The sequence below is a fragment of the Homo sapiens genome, chromosome 6 (assembly GCF_000001405.40).
Source record: "Homo sapiens chromosome 6, GRCh38.p14 Primary Assembly".
NCBI lineage: Eukaryota > Metazoa > Chordata > Mammalia > Primates > Hominidae > Homo > Homo sapiens.
Window position 1 is genome coordinate 111,542,587 of NC_000006.12, and position 22,573 is coordinate 111,565,159.

Consider the following 22,573-nt stretch of genomic DNA (forward strand, 5'->3'; position numbering starts at 1 on the left):
AAGTGAGCAAGGGGAAGGCTATAGAAAATGAGGTCAGAGTGTTGTGGAACACAAGGTACAGCTTTATTGTAAGGGCTATGGCCATTGTAGGTTTTTGTGTAAAGACATGATATGAGTTAGTTTTTAAAAGGATCCTGTGGCTGCTGAGTGGGAAGCATACTCGAGGGTGAAGGGGTGAAACAAGGGGTAGGTAAGAGGCTTTTCAATAACCCAAGTCAGGTAAGAGGAAAGTAGTGGTCAGATTCTGGATATAGTTTGAAGGTAGAGCAAGAGTATTTGCCAATGTATTAGATGGTAGGATGTAAGAGAAAGGGAGGATTCAGCAATGACTTCAAAGGTTTACTTTTTCTAGTAATCCTTGAATATATGTAAGGACTACCTCATGTGGTCTTGGGGAATCTTCAAATTTGGCAGTATCGCTATAGCATGTAAACTCCCCTGTAAATAAGTGGAGTTGAATAGCCAAGTGCAGATGTGGATTCTGGGCAGTTGGCTTGATTCATGCACCAGCTAAGGGACTTCTATCCCCATACTGGCCTCATATCTAGTCTCTCTTAGGGTTTATGATTCAAGTTAATTTATAAAACCAGAGAAATTAGCCTCATAATTATAAGCAAAATAGGAGCTTATGCCTGGGTCATCCCAACTTCACTCCATCCTTCTATTTCTCTGTGAACCTCAGATATCGCTACCAGGAAACCCAGCTCCTCCAGCATGAGATCTGTCCTCAGTAGCATATCATATAGTGATGTGTCACCTCCAGTTCTCCTGGAAAGAGGTTGAATAGAAATCTTAATACGTACAATAAAACAATACTGCGGTGTTTGTCTGAATAGTATGTCCCTCTTTCTGCTTACCCTGCCTTCCTGTAACATGGCTTTCCCCATCACCATTATCCAGTAAATAGTAACTAGAACTCCCTACCACACTTAGACCTTCTCTTATATCTTTTCTAGCATAGCAGATCATAGGTTGAATGTAAAGTTTGCCAACTATCATAAAGGAATGAATAAAGGTCAATGCTGTTTTTAAAAACTGTGTTTTGAGGCTGTTTGTACTCAAAAGCATTCATCTACTCAACAAACATTCTTGAGTTCCTACGATGTGCCAGATACACATCTTCTAGCCAATGGAGTCACAGCTATGAATAGAATATATATGTAATACATATTATTGCCAAAGACTGGAAAAGCATGGAAAAGTATAAAGAAAAGATAAAATTTCTACTAACTCACCACTGACACATAGCAGCTAGTAACATTTTAGTGTCTAGACTTTTTCTAAGCATAATATCCTTCCTCCCTGCTTTTTTGAATAAAATTTATAACTCTGGACTTACACATTTTTTCTTTAAAATTTTTTTTCTTATTAAAAAAACAGCAGATGCTCACTATTGATTGAATGAATGAATGAATTATAGGAACTTAATTACATAGAAGGAAAAAATTTTAAATGGAAATAACCACTAGTATCACTATAAGAGATAACATTGCTGTTAGTAGTTTGGGTTGCTCAATATGGTTTTGAATAATTGGAATATTTGTACAACTTTGTTCCACAACAAATGATTTACTTTAAAAATAACAACTTTCTCTTTTCCCAAATTACAAAAGCAACATGCCATTGTGGATATTTTGGAAACTACTGAAAACTACAAAAGGGGAATCTAAAAGTCATTTATAGTCCCACTGCCCAGAAACTACTGCTATTAACATTTTGGGCATTTTTTTCCAGTCTTTGTTCTTAGCAGTACAACAGGCTAGTTAAGAATCTGGACAAGCTACTTAGCCTCTCTGAGCCTCAAATTCCTTATCTGTAGAATGAAACTAATAATGCCTGCCTTGTAAGATTGTTGTGAAGTTTAAATGAGATAAAATATACAAATTGCTTAGTCCAGTATCTGAGCCATAATAAGTACTCAATATGGGGACTCTTACTATTTTGCAAGATATTTCTACATAAGTTAATCATACTTTATACATAAACTTTTATCCTCTTTAAAAAAAAAACATTCCATCATTAATATTTTCCAAAAACATTTTTAATGTCTGCATAAAGTTTATTCATGTGACTATACTACAGTTCTCGTAATGATACTCCCTTCTTATTAAACTTTAAAAAAAGTACATTTTGAGACAATCTCAATTTTTCAGAAAAGTTGCAAGTAAAGTACAAAGACCTTCTTTTCCCCTGAACCATTTGAAAGGAAGATGTCAATTTGATTTCCCCATCATCCCCAAATATCTTAGTATTTCTTCAACAGAGACATTCCCCTACATAACTGCAGTACAAACAGCAAAATTGGAAAATTAACATTGATACATTGCGATCTAATCTTCATACCCCAGTCAAGTTTCTCCATTGCTCAATAATGTATAATTTATAGCAAAGGATTCCAGTTCAGAACCACACATTGCAATTATTTGTCATCTTTCCTTAGTCGCCTTTAGTCTGAAACAGTTCCTCAGTCTTTCCTTTACTTTCATATCCTTAACACTTCAAGAATATGGGTCAGTCATTTTGTAGACTATCCCTCCATTTGCTTTTCTCTGATGTATTCTCATGATTAAGTTATATGTCCTTATCAAGACTACCACAAAATTGATGCCGTGGGTTCTTATTGTATCCTTAGATGGAACATCTGCTTTGGCTATAGCAGCCTGTGCTGTGCCATTTTCCTATACAGACACCCACCTCGCCCTACCTGGGCTCTAACGTTCCACATCAAGCCACCCCTCTTCAACCCACACTTGGTTATTCCTTTGCAAGAACCACTCTCCTCACCCCATGTGGACCCTGAAACCCCATGCTGGCCTGCACTCCCACCTTTAACCCACCTGGCCCCAGTACTCTGCACTGAGCCATCCTCTCAGTCCTCTTTGGTTCTGGCACTCTGAGCCAAGCTGACCCTCTTCAGGGACACCCCTTTCATCCTTCTTGGGCACAGTGGCTCATGCCTGTAATCTCAGCACTTTGGAAGGCTGAGGCAGGAGGGTTGCTTGAGGCTCAGTTCAAGACCAGCCTGGACAACAGAGCAAGGTCCTGTTTCTACAAAAAAAAAAAATACAAAAAAATTATGGCTGGGTGTGGTGGCTCACGCCTGTAATCCCAACACTTTGGGATAATAAGGCAGGAGGATCCCTTACGTCCGGGAGTTAGAGACCAGCCTGAGCAACATAGTGAGACCCAGTGATATGGTTTGTATTTGTGTCCCCACGAAATCTCATATTGAATTGTAATCCCCAATGTTGGAGGAGGGGTCTGATGGGAAGTGATTGGATCATGGGGGCAGATTTCCCCCTTGCTGTTCTCATGATAGTGAGTTCTCATGAGATCTGGTTATTTAAAAGTGTACAGCACCTCACCCTTCACTCTTTTCCTCCTTCTCCAGCAAGGTAAGACATGCTTGCTTCCTCTTTGCCTTCTGCCATGATTGTAAGTTTTCCGAGGCCTCCCAAGCCATGCTTCCTGTACAGCCTGTGGAACTGTGAGTCAATTAAACCTCTTTTCTTTACAAATTACCCAGTCTCAGGTAGTTCTTTCTAGCAATGCAAGAACAGACTAATACACCCAGTCTCTACAAAAATAATAAAAAATTAGCAGGGTGTGGTGGTGCAGGTCTATTGTCCCAGCTACTCGGAAGGCTCCAATGGGAGGATCCTTTGAGTCCAAGAAGTTGAGGCTGCAGTGAGCCGTGATCACGCCACTGTACTCAGCCTGGGCAACAGAGTGAGACCCTGTCTCAAAAACAGACAAACAAAAAGTACTATCTACTATCTATGTATGTAATACCAGTTTTTCCTCAAACTGGAGGAGTCTGTGGCTATAAGCAACATCATTGTGTTTTCATTGTAAGCAACATCATCGTGTTTTCATTTCAACAATGTTTTAAAAACTTATATAAAAATGTATAAACTTATCTGGCTCACCTGAGATGTTCATTTAAAAACTGCATATTTTTAGAATTGGTGCTTTGTGTTTAAAATTGGATTGGCACCATGTGATCACTTTTGTGGGAATATTCAACTTTTAATGTGTCCAGTAGTCATTATGTTGGCATGTCCTGGCATCAAAATAGCAATAACCATCTTGCTTTCTGTTTAAAGAGAATCATTGAGTTACCTTACCTGTTTTAAAGTTAAAACTGTTCTTTTTCAGTGATAAGATGCAATTGAGTTTAGTCTCTTAATTTATTTAATAAATTGATTTTGATTTTCCATCATAAAAATAAACATGCTAATCTGTCATACACTAATGAGAAAAGAACAGGGCTGATTTAGTACACAAATGATGCATTCATGTAAAGTGAAGGCCAAGTGAATCATGGTACTCAGCGCAAATAAAGTTTTACTGTAGTTCAAACAGAGAAACATAGTGAGAAAATTGAAATATTACAGGGCTCATGTAGCATAGGCTGAACTCAAAAGAAGCCAGGCAAAGCAGTCACTTTATTTGGATTATAAGCAGTATATTGGGTTTGATTCTGTGTTTATGTGACACACCAACTTACAAATACTCTCCATGAAGAACTTTTGTTAAAAGTTCTTTTAAAATTATTGATCAGGCGAGACGCAGTGGCTCATGCCTGTAATCCCAGCACTTTGGGAGGCTTAGGCAGGCAGATCATCTGAGGTCAGGAGTTCAAGACCAGCCTGGCCAACATGGTGAAACCCTGTCTCTACTAAAAATACAAAAATTAGCTGGGTATGGTAGCAGGTGCCTGTAATCCCAGCTACTTGGGAGGCTGAGGGAGGAGAACTGCTTGAAGCCTGGAGGCGGGGGTTGCGGTGAGCCTAGACCCCGCCATTGCACTCCAACCTGGGCAACAAGAGCAAAACTCCGTCTCAAAAAAAAAATTAATTAATTAAAATAAAATAATTTGTCAATATTATATTTTGGAGAACGTCATTTTTAAATTAAGTGGGCCAATTAAAACAATGAACTGATGGTTTCCAATGAATAACCTTGTAGGAGGGAAAAATTATAATAATGATAATGATTATGAGTCAAATGACTGTATCATGCTTGATAAATATAAGTCAAATATATAAGTCAACAATTGAAATAAAATCTATAAAAGCATCATGTTATACTTTTATCATTATATGTATAAATTGTAATTAAACCCAATATTAGTTATTTAGTTTCAGCAAATGTTACCACTTTCACACTGAATTAATGTTTTTTTATTTGAATTTAACTGATGATTTGTTTTCACTTAATCTGTAAATTTGATTTGTTCTTGTGATTTTTTAAATTGTGGTAAAAAGATATATAATAAAATTTACCATTAAGATGGTAAATTATTAAGATAATTTAAGTATATAGTTCAGTAGTGTTAAGTATATTCACATAGTTGTTCAACAGATCTCTAGAACGGTTTCTTTTGTGTTTGTATAGTTTTTAGTTAGCTACAAGCATAAAACATTTATACCTAATTACTACATATTTGTACATATTTAAGGAACTATATAATGAAAATTATTTAAGTCAACATGGGGAGGGGTTTCAAGAGAACTTTTATCCTTTAAAGAAAAAGAGATGTGAGACACACTAATCAATATGGTGGCTCTCTTTCAGTCTCAGTGTTTGCTCAACCAACCCTCTTGACTTTTCCTTCTTGGCTAGCTCACAGAGTGGGCTGTGTTGGAGATGACAGTGAAACCTCATTTCTTGGAAAAGCAGAATCAGAGGAGAGGATAGCAGTGTTCTACCTGAATTCAAATCTTCCTTTTTAATAATAAGTATAATATGAACACAATACTGTCTTTCAAGTTACTTTTTAAAATACTTTCAAATCCATTATCCTATTTTTGAAGCCCCATTGTGAATCTCTTAAGTAAGTTTCCTTTAAAGTCAAACATCATTGGCAGATTTTGATATGTTATACCTTTAATTATTCTAGCCAGTGCTGCTAGGAGCTTTGCTCCTTCGCAAGATGTTAGAGGAAAGACATCTCAAGGTGCTCTGAATGTTCTGTGAGTCAGCTGTGGCCTCTCCCAGGCCTTATTAAGAAAATAAACTATGCTGATGAGCTCCCCTGAAAAATTAGATGGAGGTTTTCAGCTTAAAACTCATATTGTTGACCTCTCCTAGGCTTTCTTTTTAAAATGAAAGTTTTTTTTTTGTTGTTAGGATTTGCTGTTTAACTTTTTGGAAATAAGGTAATAGTCAAAGTCCCCATAATCATTAACTGTGGGATAGAAAGCAAGAAGGAAAGAGCACGAAAGAAAGGAACATTTACCGAGTATTTACTAGATGCCAGACAGTATTCTAGAAGCTTTCTATTCTTCATCTTACCTTATTCTAACTATCTCCATGGGAGTCGGTTCTGTCGTCCCCATATCATTGGCTGAAATTCTGAGAAGTAAAGTAATTTGCGTAAGGTCACCCAACTTGTAATAAGTAAACTGAGGTTCAAGCCCACCTTTGTCTGGTTCCATAGCTACACTGTGTGAGTGAGAAACGTGAAAACACCTCACAGACTCAGCTTGGGCAGTGTTTTCTGCAACAGATTTTGTCTGGGGAACTTGGACAATGCCAATATTCATTCATAGAGTTTCTTTGCCCATTCCAGCAAATTATCATTTTCTGCTTTCTCGCTCAGTTATTTGTATACTTAGCTGATGGACTCAACTTCACACATTTCCCACACCCTACTTAGCAGAGTACAGAAATCCATTTGCTCTCTCCCAGCTGGTTCCAACACTGGCCACATCTGCCTTTCCAGATGTGCGGGCTGCAATGTAAAACACACAACCTTACCACTCCACTTGCTGCAGTGTTGTCTGGCCCTTCTTGAGGCATGGTTCTAGGCTGCTCTTTAGAAAGGTGTGATGTATGCCCTGTGGGCTGCATTATCATCTGTTGGTTTAATATGCACATTCTGTGGTGCTTTTACATACTTTTCCAACTTTTTACATTCTGTGTCCATCTCTGATTGCATTTACATAGTGATTTATGGAGACTTTGAATATTATAATCTAAAGGGTATATGTGGGAAGGAGGAAGTGAGCAGGTTTGTTTATTAGGAAAATTCAGCAGTCCCTGCTTCTTTAAAGATCTCACCTTGAAATTGCATCAATGTGAGCTCAGTGAGGGTCGGAGAAAAGGGACCAGCTGACCCACTTCCTTATCATTTACTGTATGCTGCCTTGGGTTGTTAATGGCCTTTTCACATGTTGGTGTTATATCACCCCAGCTAGATTTTAAGTAATTAGAGAGCAAGAGCGTGTGTCACTCATCTTTGTGCCAAGCATATTACCTTGCACACAGTAGGCATTTAATGAGTAGTTGGAGTCTGGTTGCTATGTGTTAGTTGCTGTGGGTGCTGCTGAACTCTCACCTTGCAGCCTTTCTGGATTAGCTTTTGAATGACAGTTTTATTAGGCATGATGGAACCAGACCTCCCATGCTCACACTGTGGTGTCAGGGACTTCTGCCTCATGTGTCTTTTCAAATAATAACATTATGCTGGTACCCAAAGTATATGGTACCAGTTTAGAGTCTTGAATTTTAAAAACCTGAATATGGAAAGAACCTGCTCAACCACTTTGGAATGCCCCTGTTAAGCTCACCTTACAGCATCAGAAGTGGACTCCGCAGCCACCTATTAGATCCAATATGAAATGCCCTAAATACTCCCCTTACTTGGTGCCTGGAGGACCTCAGTCTTAAGCTTCTCCTTTGGACTGAGGGCCTGACAAGGCCTGTGTAGGGCAGGCTGAGCCAAGCCCTGGCTTGGATTAGGGGTATCATCCAGGAATGGAATGAGCGAATGGCTTCACCTTAAGGAAACCTTTTAAATGAGATGAACAATGACCTTCTTAAACAAAATAGAGAAAACATGATGTAACCTTTTCCAGATGATTAAAGATATTGTTTTTAAAACCAGTCACTTGCTGTGAAAGCTGTGATGTTATCAGTGACTTCTGAGGGGTGTTTATTGCTATAGTACATGATCTGAACCAATGAAGCTGGACATTTTAATGTGGCTGTTTTGATTTGACCTGGGTGAAAATTAGAGGTAAGCTTGCTTTTACAAACATTACTTAGTGATTTTTTTAAAAGCTGAATATTTACTAGTGCTTTTCAGGGTGCTTCAAAATATTAATATTTTCATGACAAAACCACCTTGTCAAAATGTCAGCTGTCATTTCCATCAAGATGCTGGTCCTCTAACCCTTCTTCCCTATTGTCCTGCTAAACTGGCAACTTCTAACCTACCAAGCGTTAGAAAAACAGAAAATTGCTCTTGTTAGAACCATGTATATAAAGTAAGAGTAAATGTGATCTGGGTGAGGGTCTGATGGTTGTGTTAGGAATAAGAGTGGGGAGGTTTAGTGCCTAAGCCTTGGGATACTGTTTTGGCTTGGAGGATTATCCCATGAAACCCTTTTCACCACTGATGCCGTAGGTGGAATTAGCTCTTCAGGCAGACATTTTTTTCTTCTTAGGGTCAAAGGTAAGGTGACATGTGAAGGGGCAGCCAAGGCATCATCGGGAGGCTAGGGCTTGATGGAAGGGGTAAGGGGGGTGGTGCCGGGCATCTGGTTGGAGGGAAGTAGGAACACAGGCAGAAGCAGAGAAGGGCCCTTAGTGCTGCCGAGCACAGGCTGCTGCTTGACGCGCAGCCCTCAGCTGGCTGGCCCTGGCTGGAGAATTTCTCCGCAGGTCATTGGTTTTACCACAGTCTTGTTTGGAAACCATCTGTGTTCTAGGAGCCCATGGAGAACGGGCATCTTATTTTGAAAATCAGTTTGAAGCTAAAGTGGACTTTTTAATTACAAATGAGAGCAATGAAAATATAGCTATTGAACTTTATTGTTATTTTGGCCTCGTAAAAATTAAAAGTAAACTTTTTTAACTCAAGAGGATTTTATAAAATCTCCCCATTTGTGTACATTTCAGACATGAGACTCTACCACCCCAGAACCCATCTGAGAGGAATTTAAATCTCAGGAAAGTAGCAGCTTTCTTCAAGTTTCTGAGTAACTGAACCTTGTAGATAACAACAGATTGGAAGATAGAATCAGTTAATCCCTGAACTCAAGGAACCCTTGGCCCATAGCCCAGACAATACAGCATGCTGAAAATTGGTCTGGTCCCAGCCTCACGTAAACCTGTTTCTCCTCTCCTGAGAAGAATGCAGCTTTTGACCACTGCCCAGTGTGAGAGCCCGGCCTCACTGTTAACACCTCAGTGAAGGCAAGAACAAGTGGTTTGCAGTGGAGGGCATCGCCTGGAAGGTGGCAAAGGCCAGGCAGGTACCTGCGGCCCAGCTGCTGCTCGACGATGAGGCTGGCAGCCAAGTCTAGCGCCAGCCTTTTCAAAAGCAGCCCTTTTGATAACACTGATTACATTTCCCTCACCGGAGCCTTGGGTTAATTGAGCAACAGCCAACTTCTCTGGGTAACAAAGAGGAGGGGAAAGTAATCCAAACACAGGTTTTATTATAAAAACCAGGGAGTGAGAGAAGTGTGTTTATTCTGTAAGATAACACACCTGCTCGGTGCCGGGGAGGCTCATTTCCATCAGTTGCCATGGCAAACTCGTTATACTTCAAGGCCATGTGGCTTTGTTTCCTTTTGGGATCTGGTCCTTGTCCTACCTTTTCTAACAACTCCAACACAATGACATGGAAGCCTGCGACAGCATAATTGATTTCTCCTTCCCTCTATCAACGGTTCACATTTGTTCAGCACAGGACTGAGTCTGCCTTCTCCTTTGAACTCCTTGCTAAGCATGAAGGCATGCTTCAGAGAGCCACCCTCATTAACATTCCAGGTCCCTCTTCCCTGTCAGCAATAAACAAGCCCTGCATCAATGGCCTCCTGCCTTCCACTTTTACAAATGAGTGGCTCAGTTCCATGTTTTGCTGCTGATCCAGGTGCCCAGGCGCATACAACGCGAGCCTAAGAAGCACGCGGGAGGGACTAAAAATAGAACAGCAGTTTTGGATGCATACCAGAGCAGCTACTTCATCTCAACTTGCTTTGCACGCTAAGCCTAATGGGATCCATCAGGCATGAGTTCTCTCGCGCGCTAGCTCCCTCCCTCTCCCCTCTCTCCCCAGCTGCCGATTTCCATCAGCCCCTTCCTGGTGAAGGGAGCAAAGGGAGGTCAGGCAAGGGACAAGAAATGTGTGCCCTTATGGTTTTCGTTTACAAGCCCTGGGAGATCTGGGGGCTGCAGTTACTCCTTCCATAAGAGAGTTTCTAGAAAAAAAGCAGGCAGGCCCAGAACATGGTCACCTCTGCCCAGGTACACTTTGGTCCAAGACTTTCATTGTTTAGCAAAGCCTCAAATATCACTTCCTAATCACCCAATACCTATAACCTGGACCCATGCTCCTATATTCCTTGAAAAGTTAAGTAGAAAACTAAAGTACACTGAGTGTTCCTCTTACAGATCCCACCTGCTTGCTTGAGGCTAAGAATTTGGGAGCAAATGCACAGTGAGTTGGCAACATGTGACTGCCAGGGTCTGCAAAAGCCACCCACCTGCCGCCAAGTACCCTATCCAAAAGTGATCCTATCCTAAAGCATTTTCCAATAGAAAATGGAAGAAGTCATATGCAGTTAGGAACATGCTATCCTGCCTGGGCACAATACCTCCCAGCATGCCAGCTGTGTTGACTGAGCGAGGCTCCTTTGTATGCTAAAGTGCCTCGTGCAGCCTCCCTCAAAAGGCGAGCCAGCATGACCATACGTTTCTCATGTCTACATCCAAAAGGTAATGCAGATGTTCCAAACAGCTAAGTATTATTCCAAGAAGTGCCATTTTTGTGGAATCAGAATTGTGATAGGACGGGCTGGACGCAGTGGCTCATACCCGTAATCCCAGCACTTTGGGAGGCTGAGGCGGGCAGATCACTTGAGGTCAGGAGTTAGGAGTTCGAGACCAGCCTGGCCAATGTGGTGAAATGCAGTCTATACTAAAAACGCAAAAATTAGCTGGGCTTGTGGTGGGTGCCTGTAGTCCCAGCTACTAGGAAGGCTGAGGCAGGAGAATCGTTTGAACATGGGAGGCAGAGGCTGCAGTGAGCTGAGATCATGGCACTATTGTACTCCAGCCTGGGCGATAGAGTGAGACTGTCTCAAAAAAAAAAAAAAAAAGAATGGTGACAGGAAGATGAATATCACAGTATTTAAAAATCTTTTTCATTGTTGATGTTTTGGAGATTGGCCAGATACAACTAAAAGAAACTGATCTGGGCCAGGTGAGGTGGCTCACGCCTGCAATCCTAGTACTTTGGGAAACCAAGGTGGGAGGATTGTTTGAGCTAGGGGGGTCAAGACAAGCCTGGGTTGAACATAATGAGACCCTGTCTCTACAAAAAAAAAAAAATTTTTTTTATTTTGAGACGAAGTCCTGCTCTGTTGCCCAGGCTGGAGTGCAGTAGTGCTATCTCTGCTCACTGCAACCTCCACCTCCCTGGCTCAAGCAATTCCCCTGCCTCAGCCTCCCAAGTAGCTGGCATTACAGGCATGTGCCACCATGCCCAGATAATTTTTTTTGTATTTTTAGTAGAGACGGGATTTCACTGGTCTCAAACTCCTGACCTCAGGCAACCTGCCCACCCTGGCCTCCCAAAGTGCTGGGATTACAGGTGTGAGCCACTGTGCCCAGCCAAAATTTTTAAAAAATAAACTGGGCGTGGTGGCATGCACCTTTGGTCCTAGCTACTCAGGAGGCTGAGGTGGGGGGATCGCTTGAGCCCGGGAGGTTGAGGCTTCAGTAAGCCGTGATCATGCCACTGCACTCCAGCCTGGGTGGCAGAGCAAGACCATGTCTCTAAATAAATAAATAAATAAGTTGATCTGACTAATAGCAGATTTTGTCTGTGTCAGGCAAGTGTCAAGACCTTTTACATTGTGCTTCAGTTTCATATAATAGCAGTATAAGATAAATATGCCAAGCCACTTCAAGAAAAGTCATACTTCATATAATCACAGCAATAATCAATTCCCCAAAGAATTTCTAACGGAACAAGTTGCAACATGATCATCTAATCCTCCAGTCACTAGAGGATGGAGGTACTTCTTCCCTCAGGGAGAGGGAAGTATCTCTTCAGGGAGACACCAGGTCATTTGTTGAACACATCTACTGTGAAAAACCAGAAAGCTTTCTAGATTCATCAAATAAATGTCTGCAGTCTGGAAATCAGAACATCCGGGTTCTAGTCCTAGGATGACCTTAGACAAGCCACGGCTGCTCTGGGCCCTGCTTTCCTTGTGTATAAAACAAAGCTGCAGGGATATATGATTTCTAGGGTCTCTTTCTAGACTGAAAGTTCCATAACAGAAATAAATGATCTGAGAATTTAATTGATTTTCGTGCTTTCTTTCTTCCTTTCCCCCCGACCTTTGGTTGTTGTTGTTTATTTGGTTAGTAGGCTAAAATAGAACTATTTTTCTTGAAAAATAGTGCATAATTCTCTGGGATGAGAGGCATTTCTTCTCTGTGGTATTTTCCCACAGTGTAACCTTCCTTCTCTTTTCATTTGCCACTAGGAGGTGGGTCTCACTGATTCTTCCTGGTTCATTAAGAAGAAACAGAAAGATCTTGTGTTTTCAGAGACTCTTTCTGGATCATTTCCCATGATCATAGGACTTTGCAATCCATTTGGCAAAGGTGGTGGTGACAATGGGGTGTTTGGCAAAGTGGATGAGGTAGTTGACGAAGCAGCTGGGGTAAAGAAAAATGCTCTTGGCAAAACATCATGAAACTAGGGTGGAATGTTCAAAATGGAGAACTTGCATCCCTTGCTGAGATGACTCCGAGAAAAATTCTGTCTTTAAAGAGGTGATTTATTTAACAGGAAACAAAGAAAAAGGTATCAACAGTAATAATTTTTCTGAGCACTGAGCTGAGAAATAGCTAGTCTAATACTTTGATTGTAGCCATGTACTGAGACCTCTTTGAACAATCTAGAAGTTAAAATAGATTTGAAACCAGTCACTAAAATTTAAAATTACATTTAAAATTCTAAATTAGTCATCAAATATTAGGTAAGAACCTAACCTTGCATTCCACAAACCCACCCCTCAAATCGGTGTAAGTCTGAATAAAGCCTTTGGGCTAAGAGGTTATTTTTACTAAGTCAGCCCTACCCCACTTCCACCCCAAAAATATCTAAAGATGAATGCCTGAGGACCAGCATAACATCTAAATCAACCGAGTGTTAATCTTATTGTCAGTGCTCTCAAATAGTTGTTACAATTCCTTTGATGGGCCGGGCGTGGTGGCTCATGCCTGTAATCCCAGCAATTTGGGAGGCCGAGGCGGATGGATCACGAGGTCAGGAGATCAAGACCATCCTGGCTAACACGGTGAAACCCCGTCTCTACTAAAAATACAAAAAATTAGCCGGGCATGGTGGCAGGTGCCTGTAGTCACAGCTACTCGAGAGGCTGAGGCAGGAGAATCGCTTGAACCCGGGAGGTGGAGGTTGCAGTGAGCTGTGATTGCACCACTGCACTCTAGCCTGGGTGACAGAGCGAGACTACGTCTCAAAAAAAAAAAAAAAAAAATGCTTTGATGTTGGTGGTCATCGGATCTCATAGAAATTTCAGGGGCCAAGCTTTTGTCACTTGGCCAAGTGCGTGTGTGTGTGTATGTGTGCGTGTGTGTGTGTGTGTCTGTGTGTACTTTTTGGTTTGTTTTTTTGCTACCAGTGCTACCAGCTGTAACACTTTAATGACTCTTTGTGGAACACCAGGGACCACTGCTCATCAACCACCTGGGGTAAGAAGAGTGGAAGGAATGAGTGGTTCAGAGCTTAGGACAGGTCTCTGAAGGGAGGAAGGGTTAATAACATCACATTGCTAAGTCTTTGCAAACTAGAAACATTTCAGAGTAATTGCTGATGTCATTTTATTTACAAACGGGTGTCGAATCCTTAATGATGGTGTCACCTCAGACTAAAAAAGATAATGAAAAAAGAGAAAGAAGACTTGAAGTTTGTGTTTGGGTGTTTTCCAGGTTATCCAAATATGAAAGTCAGTTCTACCAGGTCTCAAAACTACGGAACTAATGTTACATGTCAGAAAGTCTTACAAATGAGTACTTATGTTATGCTAGTTTTTCTTCTCTTTTCCTATTTTTTAAAGAACAAAGACATTCGTCTCACCCAGTAGACATCTAAGTTATAAAGTAAATGAAACTAGTGTTCTTTGCAATGCATTAGCAATGTTTCTTATTTATAGTTGACAAGTATTTGTCCTTTCCCTGTGCTACATATAAGAGCTGGACTGGGCTGGGCGTGGTGGCTCCCATCTGTAATCCTAGCACTTTGGGAGGCCAAGGCAGGTGAATCACTTGAGCCCAGGAATTCGAGACTAGCCTGGACAACATGGCAAAACCCTGTCTCTACAAAAAATACAAAAATTAACCAAGCATGTTGGTGCACACCTATAGTCCCTGCTACTTGGGAGGCTGAAGTGTAAGGGTCACCTGAGCCCGGCAAGGTCAAAGCTGCAGTGAGCTGAGACTGTGTCACTGTACTGCAGCCTGGGAAAGAGTGAGACCCTGTCTCAAAAAAAAGAAAAAAAAAACAAAACGGTGGACTGTCTTGTAGCACAAGTGAGCCTTGTTTAAGAGGCTAGTAGATAAAGAAGGGAAGCAGTAGCTTGCAGCCCCAAAAAGTCTTCATTGTCTTAGTAGCTTGGGCCATAATTAAAGCCATCCCACCTTTATAGTTTACGTAGATTTGATACATGTATACATATTTTATATATGGATATGTGTATGTGTTCTTTTTCTGGAGACCAGGTAAACAAGATATATAGATACAGATAGATATCCAAAATTATCAACCTGAGGGTATTGTTGAAGTTTTTTTTTTTTTTTTTTTTTTTGAGACGGAGTCTCACTCTATTGCCCAGGCTGGAGTGCAGTGGCGCAATCTCGGCTCACTGCAAGCTCCGCCTCCCGGGTTGACACCATTTTCCTGCCTCAGCCTCCCCAGTAGCTGGGACTACAGGCGCCTGCCACCACGCCCGGCTATTTTTTTTGTATTTTTAGTAGAGATGGAGTTTCACCGTGTTAGCCAGGATGGTCTTGATCTCCTGACCTCATGATCCGCCTGCCTCAGCCTCCCAAAGTGCTGGGATTACAGGCGTGAGAAGATATTTTTTAAAAGAGGAAAATGTTGGCTGGGTGTGGTGGCTCACACCTGTAATCCCAGCACTTTGGGAGGCCGAGGTGGGCGGATCACAAGGTCAGGAGTTCGAGACCAGTCTGGCCAATATGAAACCCTGTCTCTACTAAAAATACAAAAATTAGCTGGGCATGGTGGCAGGCGCCTATAGGTCTAGCTACTTGGGAGGTTGAGGCAGAAGAATCACTTGAACCCAGGAGGCGCAGGTTGCAGTGAGCCAAGATTGCAGCACTGCACTCCAGCCTGGACGACAGAGCGAGACTCTGTCTCAAACAAAAAAAAAGAAGAAGAAAATGTCTCTGTTAAGAAAATGTAAATTTGTCCTCTGAGAGACATAATTATGAAAATGAAAACTCAGTCACTCCTCAAAAGAGTATTTAGAATTTAGGTCCTAGACTTCAAATCTTTTAGAGTGATTAGAGATGCTTTTGTCCATGTCATTTTATAAATGAGTCCCTGGAATCTAAGAAAAGTTAAAGGACTTGCTAAAGGTCATACAGCTAATTGGTGGTAGAACCAAAATTAGAACACAGACTACAATTCTAGCCTACATCCCCCAACACTTCATACACATATGCAAATATTTTTACCTATGTAGTCAGATCCTGAGAACCATAATCATACTATTTAGAATCATGGCTGTATGCTATATAAAGTTGTTTTGTTAAAAATGGGTGTTTTTATTTGTTTGTTTGTTTTTTGAGACGGAGTCTCGCTCTGTCTCCCAAGCTAGAGTGCAGTGACATGATCTCGGCTCACTGCAACCTCTGCCTCCCGGGTTCAAGTGATTCTCCTGCCTCAGCCTCCCGAGTAGCTGGGATTACAGGTGCACACCACCATGCCCGGCTAACTTTTTTGTAATTTTAGCAGAGATGGGGTTTCACCATGTTGGCCAGGCTGGTCTCAAACTCCTGACCTCAAATGATCTGCCTGCCTTAGCTTCCCAAAGTGCTGGGATTACAGGTGTGAGTCACTGCGCCCAGCCTAAAAATCTTTATTGCAAGAATAAAGCTTCCATGATTATGGTTAAAAAGGGTTGTTTAACTAGCTGGCTTTAATCCATTAATACAGAGTGGTCTGTTATATTTATCTAATATTATATCTAAGCAGCTTTGTTGATGTCCCTGGAAGCAACTGCCCATATCATTATAAATTATATGTATCTCCTTTGAGATAAGTAAAACATAATCTTACAAAAGAGTAAACATTTTATTATTTGTACATGAATCAGTTTGGTCTGAGGATACACAAGCATCTGGCTAACTCATAAAAGTAGCCTGAAGTGATTGATAGGAGAGTGTTTGTAGTCATTTCCATTTGCTGCCACATCCCTTACATTATCTACTTGCTAAGCACTGAGAGGCCCAGAATGGACACATCAAACTGTCAGGAGGAACATATGGGACACTGGCACCTGCAATGGTTTTTTTAAAAGCAGAGAATGCAGAGCAGTCACAGACTCCACTTCAAAGCCAGGGTGTGTGGAGGTCTCCGGGGAAGAGCTCTGCACAACAGGTTTCCTGGGGGCCAGAGGGCCTCTCGGGGAGGAACAGAAAAAAACCAGCCAGGAGTGCTACCGACCAGCCTCAGCCAGAATGCTGTCAGAACAAGGCCCCAAACATGGCCTGGCCTCAGTGATCTGGGGATGAACGGTGTCACAAGGGAACCACCTGAAGGGTGGGCAGAGGCCCCCGTGGAGGAGCCACATACTCTTCCTCTCTCAGCAGCCGCAGCAGGATGTTTTTTTTATTCTTGGGCCAGCTGTAGACATGAGTGTTCTGAAGCCAGGTGGGCACATGCTCCTATGGGAGGCAGAATGACAGGAGCAAAGGTCATTAGAGAAAAACCTGGATGCCAGATCCCAGGCTCAGTTCCCAAACATTTCTGGCTTTCCCTACATGGGCGTTTCCTACCAAACTATCCTGGGAGTTGTGCTGTTTTGCTTTTGGAAAGGTTTAGCATGTGAAATGTTCTTGGCTTCGGGTACAAGCTGTATATCTCATTATAAAAACCACATGTGCACAGCATTTTCTGTCAGTCTCCCAGACTACCTACCCTTTGCATTTCAACTTGCTTTTCACCACCCTCACATAAAAGGGGTAGGACAGAGGTCACACAGAGTGATGTGAATTCCCCTGTGACTTCAGAAGAAGTATGCCAGGGCCGTAGGCTTAAATCAATTCATTACTCTTTCACTCCAGCCCCAGGTCTGGCCTGCAGTAGAAGGAGCCCATCAGACCTCAGTGATCAGGCAGAGGCAGAAACTGTTAGCCAGGGATCCTGGGGGTGCAGTGTCAGACTGCCCTCATGGAGTGGATGTTCTGGTGGGGAGAGGCAGATAATAAGTAAATGGATAGTGTGTTCAACAGTGATGTATGCTGTGGAGAAGAATTAAACAAGAAAGGGGACAGGGAGTGCTGGGGCAAGGGTGAAAGATTTGCAGTTTTAAACGGGGTGCTTAGGAGAGGTCTCACTGAGAAAATGAGCAAAGACCTAAAAGAGTGGAAGAAGCAAGCTCTGTGGTTGTCTGGGTCCAGGCAGATAGGAGAGTCAGTGCGAAGGCCCTGTGGAGGGAGTGTGTTGGGTCTGTTCACAAGCAACAAGGCCACTGTGAGTAGAGCAGAGTGAGTAGGTGCAGAGGTCTGGAAGTAGAAGGGGCTGTATCGGATAGTGCCCTGTAGGCCACCATAAGGCCTTTGCTTTTGAGTCTAACTCCTAGGGACTATAGGACGGGACTTCTCTAGGTATTGTGCTTAGAAGCAGCACCTGCTGCATGGCAGGCATCATACTGAGTACTGAGGATGCCCAAATGAAAAGGACGCAGGGACTGCCTTGAGGACTTCAAATCTTAGGATGAAAGCAAAATGTCAACAAATGATTTTCTAGTCAATGGTGTACCAAGGGGACAGGTGGTGAGAGCGGCCTGTGCTGGGCTCAGGTAATACGGGCATTGTCTGAAGGAGATTTAAAAATAATAACAAAACCAATGAAAATTTGGTCTATTTTGTATATCGCCATGCTCCAATAATTCTCAACAATTATTCCCAGTACCCTCAACCCAAACACATACCATTGACCCAAGGTGCTAGAATTAAGCACCCTTAAGAAAGGGACAATGAAATATATCAGCATGAAGGTAAAGAGGTGTCAGGGCAGGGCGCAGTGGCTCACGCCTGTAATCCCAGCACTGGGGAGGCTGAGGAGAGTGGATTACCTGAGGTCAGGAGTTCAAGACCAGCCTGGCCAACATGGTGAAACCCTGTCTCTACTAAACATACAAAAATTAGCTGGGCGTGGTGGCGAGCACCTATAACCCCAGCTACTTGGGAGGCTGAGGCAGGAGAATTGCTTGAACCTGGGAGGTGGAGGTTGCAGTGAGCTGAGATTGCACCACTGCACTCCAGCCTGGGCAACAGAGCAAGACCCTGTCTCAAAAAAAAAAAACACTTTGGGAGGCCCAGGCAGGTGGATCACGAGGTCAAGAGAACAAGACCATCCTGGCCAACATGGTGAAACCCCATCTCCACTAAAAATACAAAAATTAGCTGGGCATAGTAGCACATGCCTGTAGTCCCAGATAGTCGGGAGGCTGAGGCAGGAGAATCGCTTGAACCCTGGAGGCAGAGGTTGCAGTGAGCCGAGATCACACCACTACACTCCAGCCTGATGACAGAGCAAGACTCCGTCTCAAAACAAACAACCAAAAGAGGTGTCGGGGAGGCTAGAGAGATTGGGTGATATAAGGGTAAGTAAGAGTTCACTAGGCAGGCAAGTTAGGGAAGGGCATTGCAAGCAGACGGAACAGAAAAGGCAAAGGCACAGAGACAAAAGAACACAGCATGTGTGAGGGCATGCTGAAATGGTCCAGGGTGACCAGAGCACACAGCATCTACAGAGGGTGATGAGAGAAAACTACGCAAGGGGACACAGTCCTCTTCTGAGAGGCCTCATAGATCGTGCTAAGAAAGGTGGATATGATCTTGTAGTCAATGGGAAAACGGCACAAAATTTGTAAGCTACCAAGAAACAGATCAGACCTACATTTTGGATGTTCCTCTTTGATGGCAGAGGAGAGGATGGCTAGCACAAGGTCAAAGTGGAGATGAGACCAGTAAGGAGACTCATCAGTAAGTGACAGCAGTGAGACCCTGGGCAAAGGCAGCGCAGGGAGGATAGAAAGGTGTGCCATCGCACAGGCTGTGCACCATACAGCCTGAGGTGTCCCGTTCCCATAAACTGGAGCCTCCCTCATCCAGGGCAGGGGTCTCAGTGCAGTCTTGACATCTGAGGATCCCTCCAGGGTGAAACAGGGCCTGAGTTTAGGGTGCTGTGGTCTGATTCTCAACATGTTTACTCCACCACTGCCTTCCCTTTGCCAAGCATGGAATGTGGCCTCAGGTGGTTTTGCCCCCATTCTCCAAACTTGCTGGCAGACCCTTCTGGTGTGAAAAGCCTCATATGAATCACGGCAAAGTTCACTCAGGTAACTATAGATTTAATTCCTGTAATCATTAGCTTTGAGAGCTGAACTATGTGCAATGAAATGCCTCCCTGGAACAGCCAGCAAAAACCATACACATCTTGACTTTTATGTACAAGAGATAAGAAGTATGACATGAACCTTCTCTTTTTCTTTCTTGAGTTAAAACAGAAACTACATCTTTGTGTGCAACGGTTCTTTGAACAATTAGGACAGCAGTGATCCTATCAGATAGCTTTAAAACCCTCCTGATTCATACTGCTGAACTGAGTGGTACAACTTGTTGATCTTTCTGGTAACATTGTTATCTCTAAGGATTGATAAAGAATTGATGGCAGACATGGTGGTTCATATCTGTAATCCCAGCACTTTGGGAGGCTGAGGCAGGCAGATCACCTGAGGTCAGGAGTTCAAGACCAGCCTGGCCAACATGGTGAAACCCCATCTCTACTAAAAATAAAAAAAATTAGCCAGGCTTGGTGGCAGGGACCTGTAATCCCAGCTACTTGGGAAGCTGAAGCAGGAGAATCACTTGAACCCAGGAGGCAGAGGTTGCAGTGAGCCAAGGTCACGCCATTGCACTCCAGGCTGGGCAACACAGCGAGACTCCATCTCAAAAAAAAAAAAAAAGAAAAGAAAGAAAAAAAGAATGGACAAGGTTTTCCATTTAAAATCCCAGATGGCAAAGCAAACCAAAGATTGAATTATGAGGATTTTGTTTCTTTGTTTGTTTACCTTCTTAGCATTTGGGAAGAGCACAGGGATGAATCTGAAATTCATGCTTCCTTGTTTTATGAACTCAATCTGCATCTGAAACCAAACAAATGTGAAGGTTTAATTTCAGGAATGAGGATGAGGAGTTAATGGTACCCATAATCATGCACGTCCACATGGCATTTTTATTCTGATTTCCATACTTGAGTGCCACACACTTAACATTTTAAGGCCTCCCCATTACACATCTATTCCATTCACTCATCAGTCGTTTATTGGAGGCCTGTTAGAAGTCACATTCTATGTCAGACTTTGGGTTTTAAGGATTAGGATACCTTCCAGGGTATGCTGGAACTGGCTTGCAGCAGCTCACAAAAGCTTGTTGTGTGCATCTCTTCCTAATTCTGTGTTCAGTGACTTCACACTGATAGCTTGAAATTGGCGATGGTATTGGAGAGTATTTATACCATGGAAATAGGTAAGTGCTACAAATCAGGAGAGCCAGCTTAGCAGAACACCACAGATACAGTCCCTATCTTCACAAAGCCAGCAGTCTAGTGAGCAGGCAGAAAGGGAAATTACCAACCAGAGTGCCGGGTGAAAAGTATTAACAATTGCTCTAGAAGCCCAGAATGGGGGCCATCCATTCTACATCAGAGATTGGAAGGACAGTTACAAAAGAGGGTTCATTTGGGCACTGAAAGAAAAGATTTTGGTCAAGTAGGGAAAACAGAGGCAGAGGCAACAGCATGAGCAAATGTCTGGAGGTGTGAAAGTGTGTTGATGTGGTTGGGACCAGCTACTAATGCACTGTGACTAGAGCACAAGATGGGCTTGGCAGAGAGGGGATGTCAATTGCGAAGAGCTCCATCTGCCAGGCTTTAGGTTCCTCACACCAGTTCCAATATGCTCTGACACTGTGGTAGCCCAAGAAGATTTAGCTACCAAGAACTCTCTCAAAAATCAGAATTTTCAATAGGAGGGGAGTTAGAGTCTTCCAAATCCTGTGACCAGCACAAAGCTTTCAGTCATCTGATGAGAAGGAGACGAGGAATTATGTGTTTCCAACCATTTCATCTTCCAATTCATTTTTATAACTGAGAAGTTTTCATTGTGCATGGAAATAACAGAACAGAGAAGAAAGTGACAGTGGTGATAGCTGGTTATTGAAATCACCATAGAAACCCCTCATAAACACACACTCTCACATAGTTGCATACGCACACACACACACACACGATCACACAACACACACAAATCCTCCACAAGGTGTTTTTTCGGAACCACCTCTCTCTAAAAACCATAAGATAACACCAAGAACATATTTTAAAATGACCCAAGTACTGTGCAGCTAGAAGCACCCACCACACCAGCACCGAGTACACATGAAAGGAAGGGGATGGGGTGCATAAGTTACAAGTGAAGCACTGAGTTTTGTTTGACTTCTAGGACTCCGTATACTGTGAAGTTTGGCTTGTGCACTAGGCTGCCCAGCCTGTGGAGGGGCCAGCCAGCAGCAGTGCATTTTTATTTTCTCTCACCCTTCCAGAAACTGAGTTTCTGTAAACTAATTCACTGTATGATGCAGTTACTCATCAGTACCTCTGCACTACCTCTGTCATGGCCAAGTTCTTGTTGTTCCAGGGTTTTCTGTTGCCTAGAGGGGTGCAGGAAGTCAGCCAGGCAGTCAGGAAGGCACTTCTGTGTCTGACCTCTTCGACCCCTTCTATGATGAGTAAGGGCCCAAGACATTGTGGCCCAAGAAACCAAGTTTGGCGACAGTTTGGTTCCAGTTGGTACAGTCAGACAAGCTCTGAGGCCAAGCTGTGTATTACTGCCTGGCTACACCACACACCCACAGAGCTAGACAGGTTTCCTTAGGAACTGGCTGAGGCCTCGAGCCCTTCCCACGCACCAGCTGTCAGCTTCTGGGACTGGCAGGTTCCTAGAGATGCAGACAGGACATTGGGTGCTCTGAGGCCATGCAGACATGCATCAGACAACCAAGGGCCGGCAGCACCCCGAGCCAGCCATGACCTTTTCAGGCAGTTTACTCCCAGGAATGATACCTTTCCGGGGCACTGTACAAGGGCTGTGAGACTGGTTGAGACCAGAAGAGGAGGGAGCCTTATCTCCTGACTCCCTGGCCTCACTTTTTAACCTCATCACCTTGCCTCGGCTCTTCCTTCAGTTTGGTTGTGAGCTCACGTGAGTGG

At 42.9% G+C, this 22,573-nt stretch overlaps 1 protein-coding gene and 1 non-coding gene across 7 annotated transcripts in view, besides 5 other annotated features; one reads left to right on the top strand and one right to left on the bottom strand.

The window, feature by feature from the left end:
- The window catches only part of TRAF3IP2-AS1 (TRAF3IP2 antisense RNA 1), a 118,824-nt gene that overhangs the window by 59,115 nt on the left and 37,136 nt on the right, over positions 1-22,573 (top strand). The gene's annotated exons all lie outside the window — the stretch shown is intronic.
- Positions 7,899-12,879: an enhancer, noted in NCBI's record as "VISTA enhancer hs1690". NCBI's record gives its function as "enhancer in: neural tube[5/7] | somite[5/7] | forebrain[4/7] | branchial arch[5/7] | heart[4/7] | facial mesenchyme[5/7] | other[5/7]" and the evidence as "EXISTENCE:transgenic organism evidence [ECO:0001131][PMID:17130149]".
- Positions 10,196-10,888: an enhancer, noted in NCBI's record as "NANOG-H3K27ac hESC enhancer chr6:111873985-111874677 (GRCh37/hg19 assembly coordinates)". NCBI's record gives its function as "activates a minimal SCP1, AML or CMV promoter by ChIP-STARR-seq in primed H9 embryonic stem cells {active_cell/tissue: H9 hESC(primed)}" and the evidence as "EXISTENCE:reporter gene assay evidence [ECO:0000049][PMID:30033119]".
- TRAF3IP2 (TRAF3 interacting protein 2) overlaps positions 12,795-22,573 on the bottom strand; it is a 50,498-nt gene continuing 40,719 nt past the window's right edge. For all 4 annotated transcript variants that reach the window (NM_001164281.3, NM_147686.4, NM_147200.3 and 1 more), the window contains 2 exons: positions 20,379-20,453; positions 12,795-16,965 (listed from right to left, as the gene is read on the bottom strand). In NM_001164281.3, the coding sequence (NP_001157753.1) occupies positions 16,819-16,965; positions 20,379-20,453 (222 nt within the window). In that variant the 3' untranslated portion in view covers positions 12,795-16,818. The remainder of the gene's footprint in view (positions 16,966-20,378; positions 20,454-22,573) is intronic.
- Positions 16,778-17,277: an enhancer, noted in NCBI's record as "H3K4me1 hESC enhancer chr6:111880567-111881066 (GRCh37/hg19 assembly coordinates)". NCBI's record gives its function as "activates a minimal SCP1, AML or CMV promoter by ChIP-STARR-seq in naive H9 embryonic stem cells {active_cell/tissue: H9 hESC(naive)}" and the evidence as "EXISTENCE:reporter gene assay evidence [ECO:0000049][PMID:30033119]".
- Positions 19,747-19,947: a silencer, noted in NCBI's record as "peak6037 fragment used in MPRA reporter construct". NCBI's record gives its function as "represses an SCP1 promoter by STARR-seq MPRAs in K562 erythroleukemia cells {active_cell/tissue: K562}" and the evidence as "EXISTENCE:reporter gene assay evidence [ECO:0000049][PMID:32103011]".
- Positions 21,813-22,485: an enhancer, noted in NCBI's record as "H3K27ac-H3K4me1 hESC enhancer chr6:111885602-111886274 (GRCh37/hg19 assembly coordinates)". NCBI's record gives its function as "activates a minimal SCP1, AML or CMV promoter by ChIP-STARR-seq in primed H9 embryonic stem cells {active_cell/tissue: H9 hESC(primed)}" and the evidence as "EXISTENCE:reporter gene assay evidence [ECO:0000049][PMID:30033119]".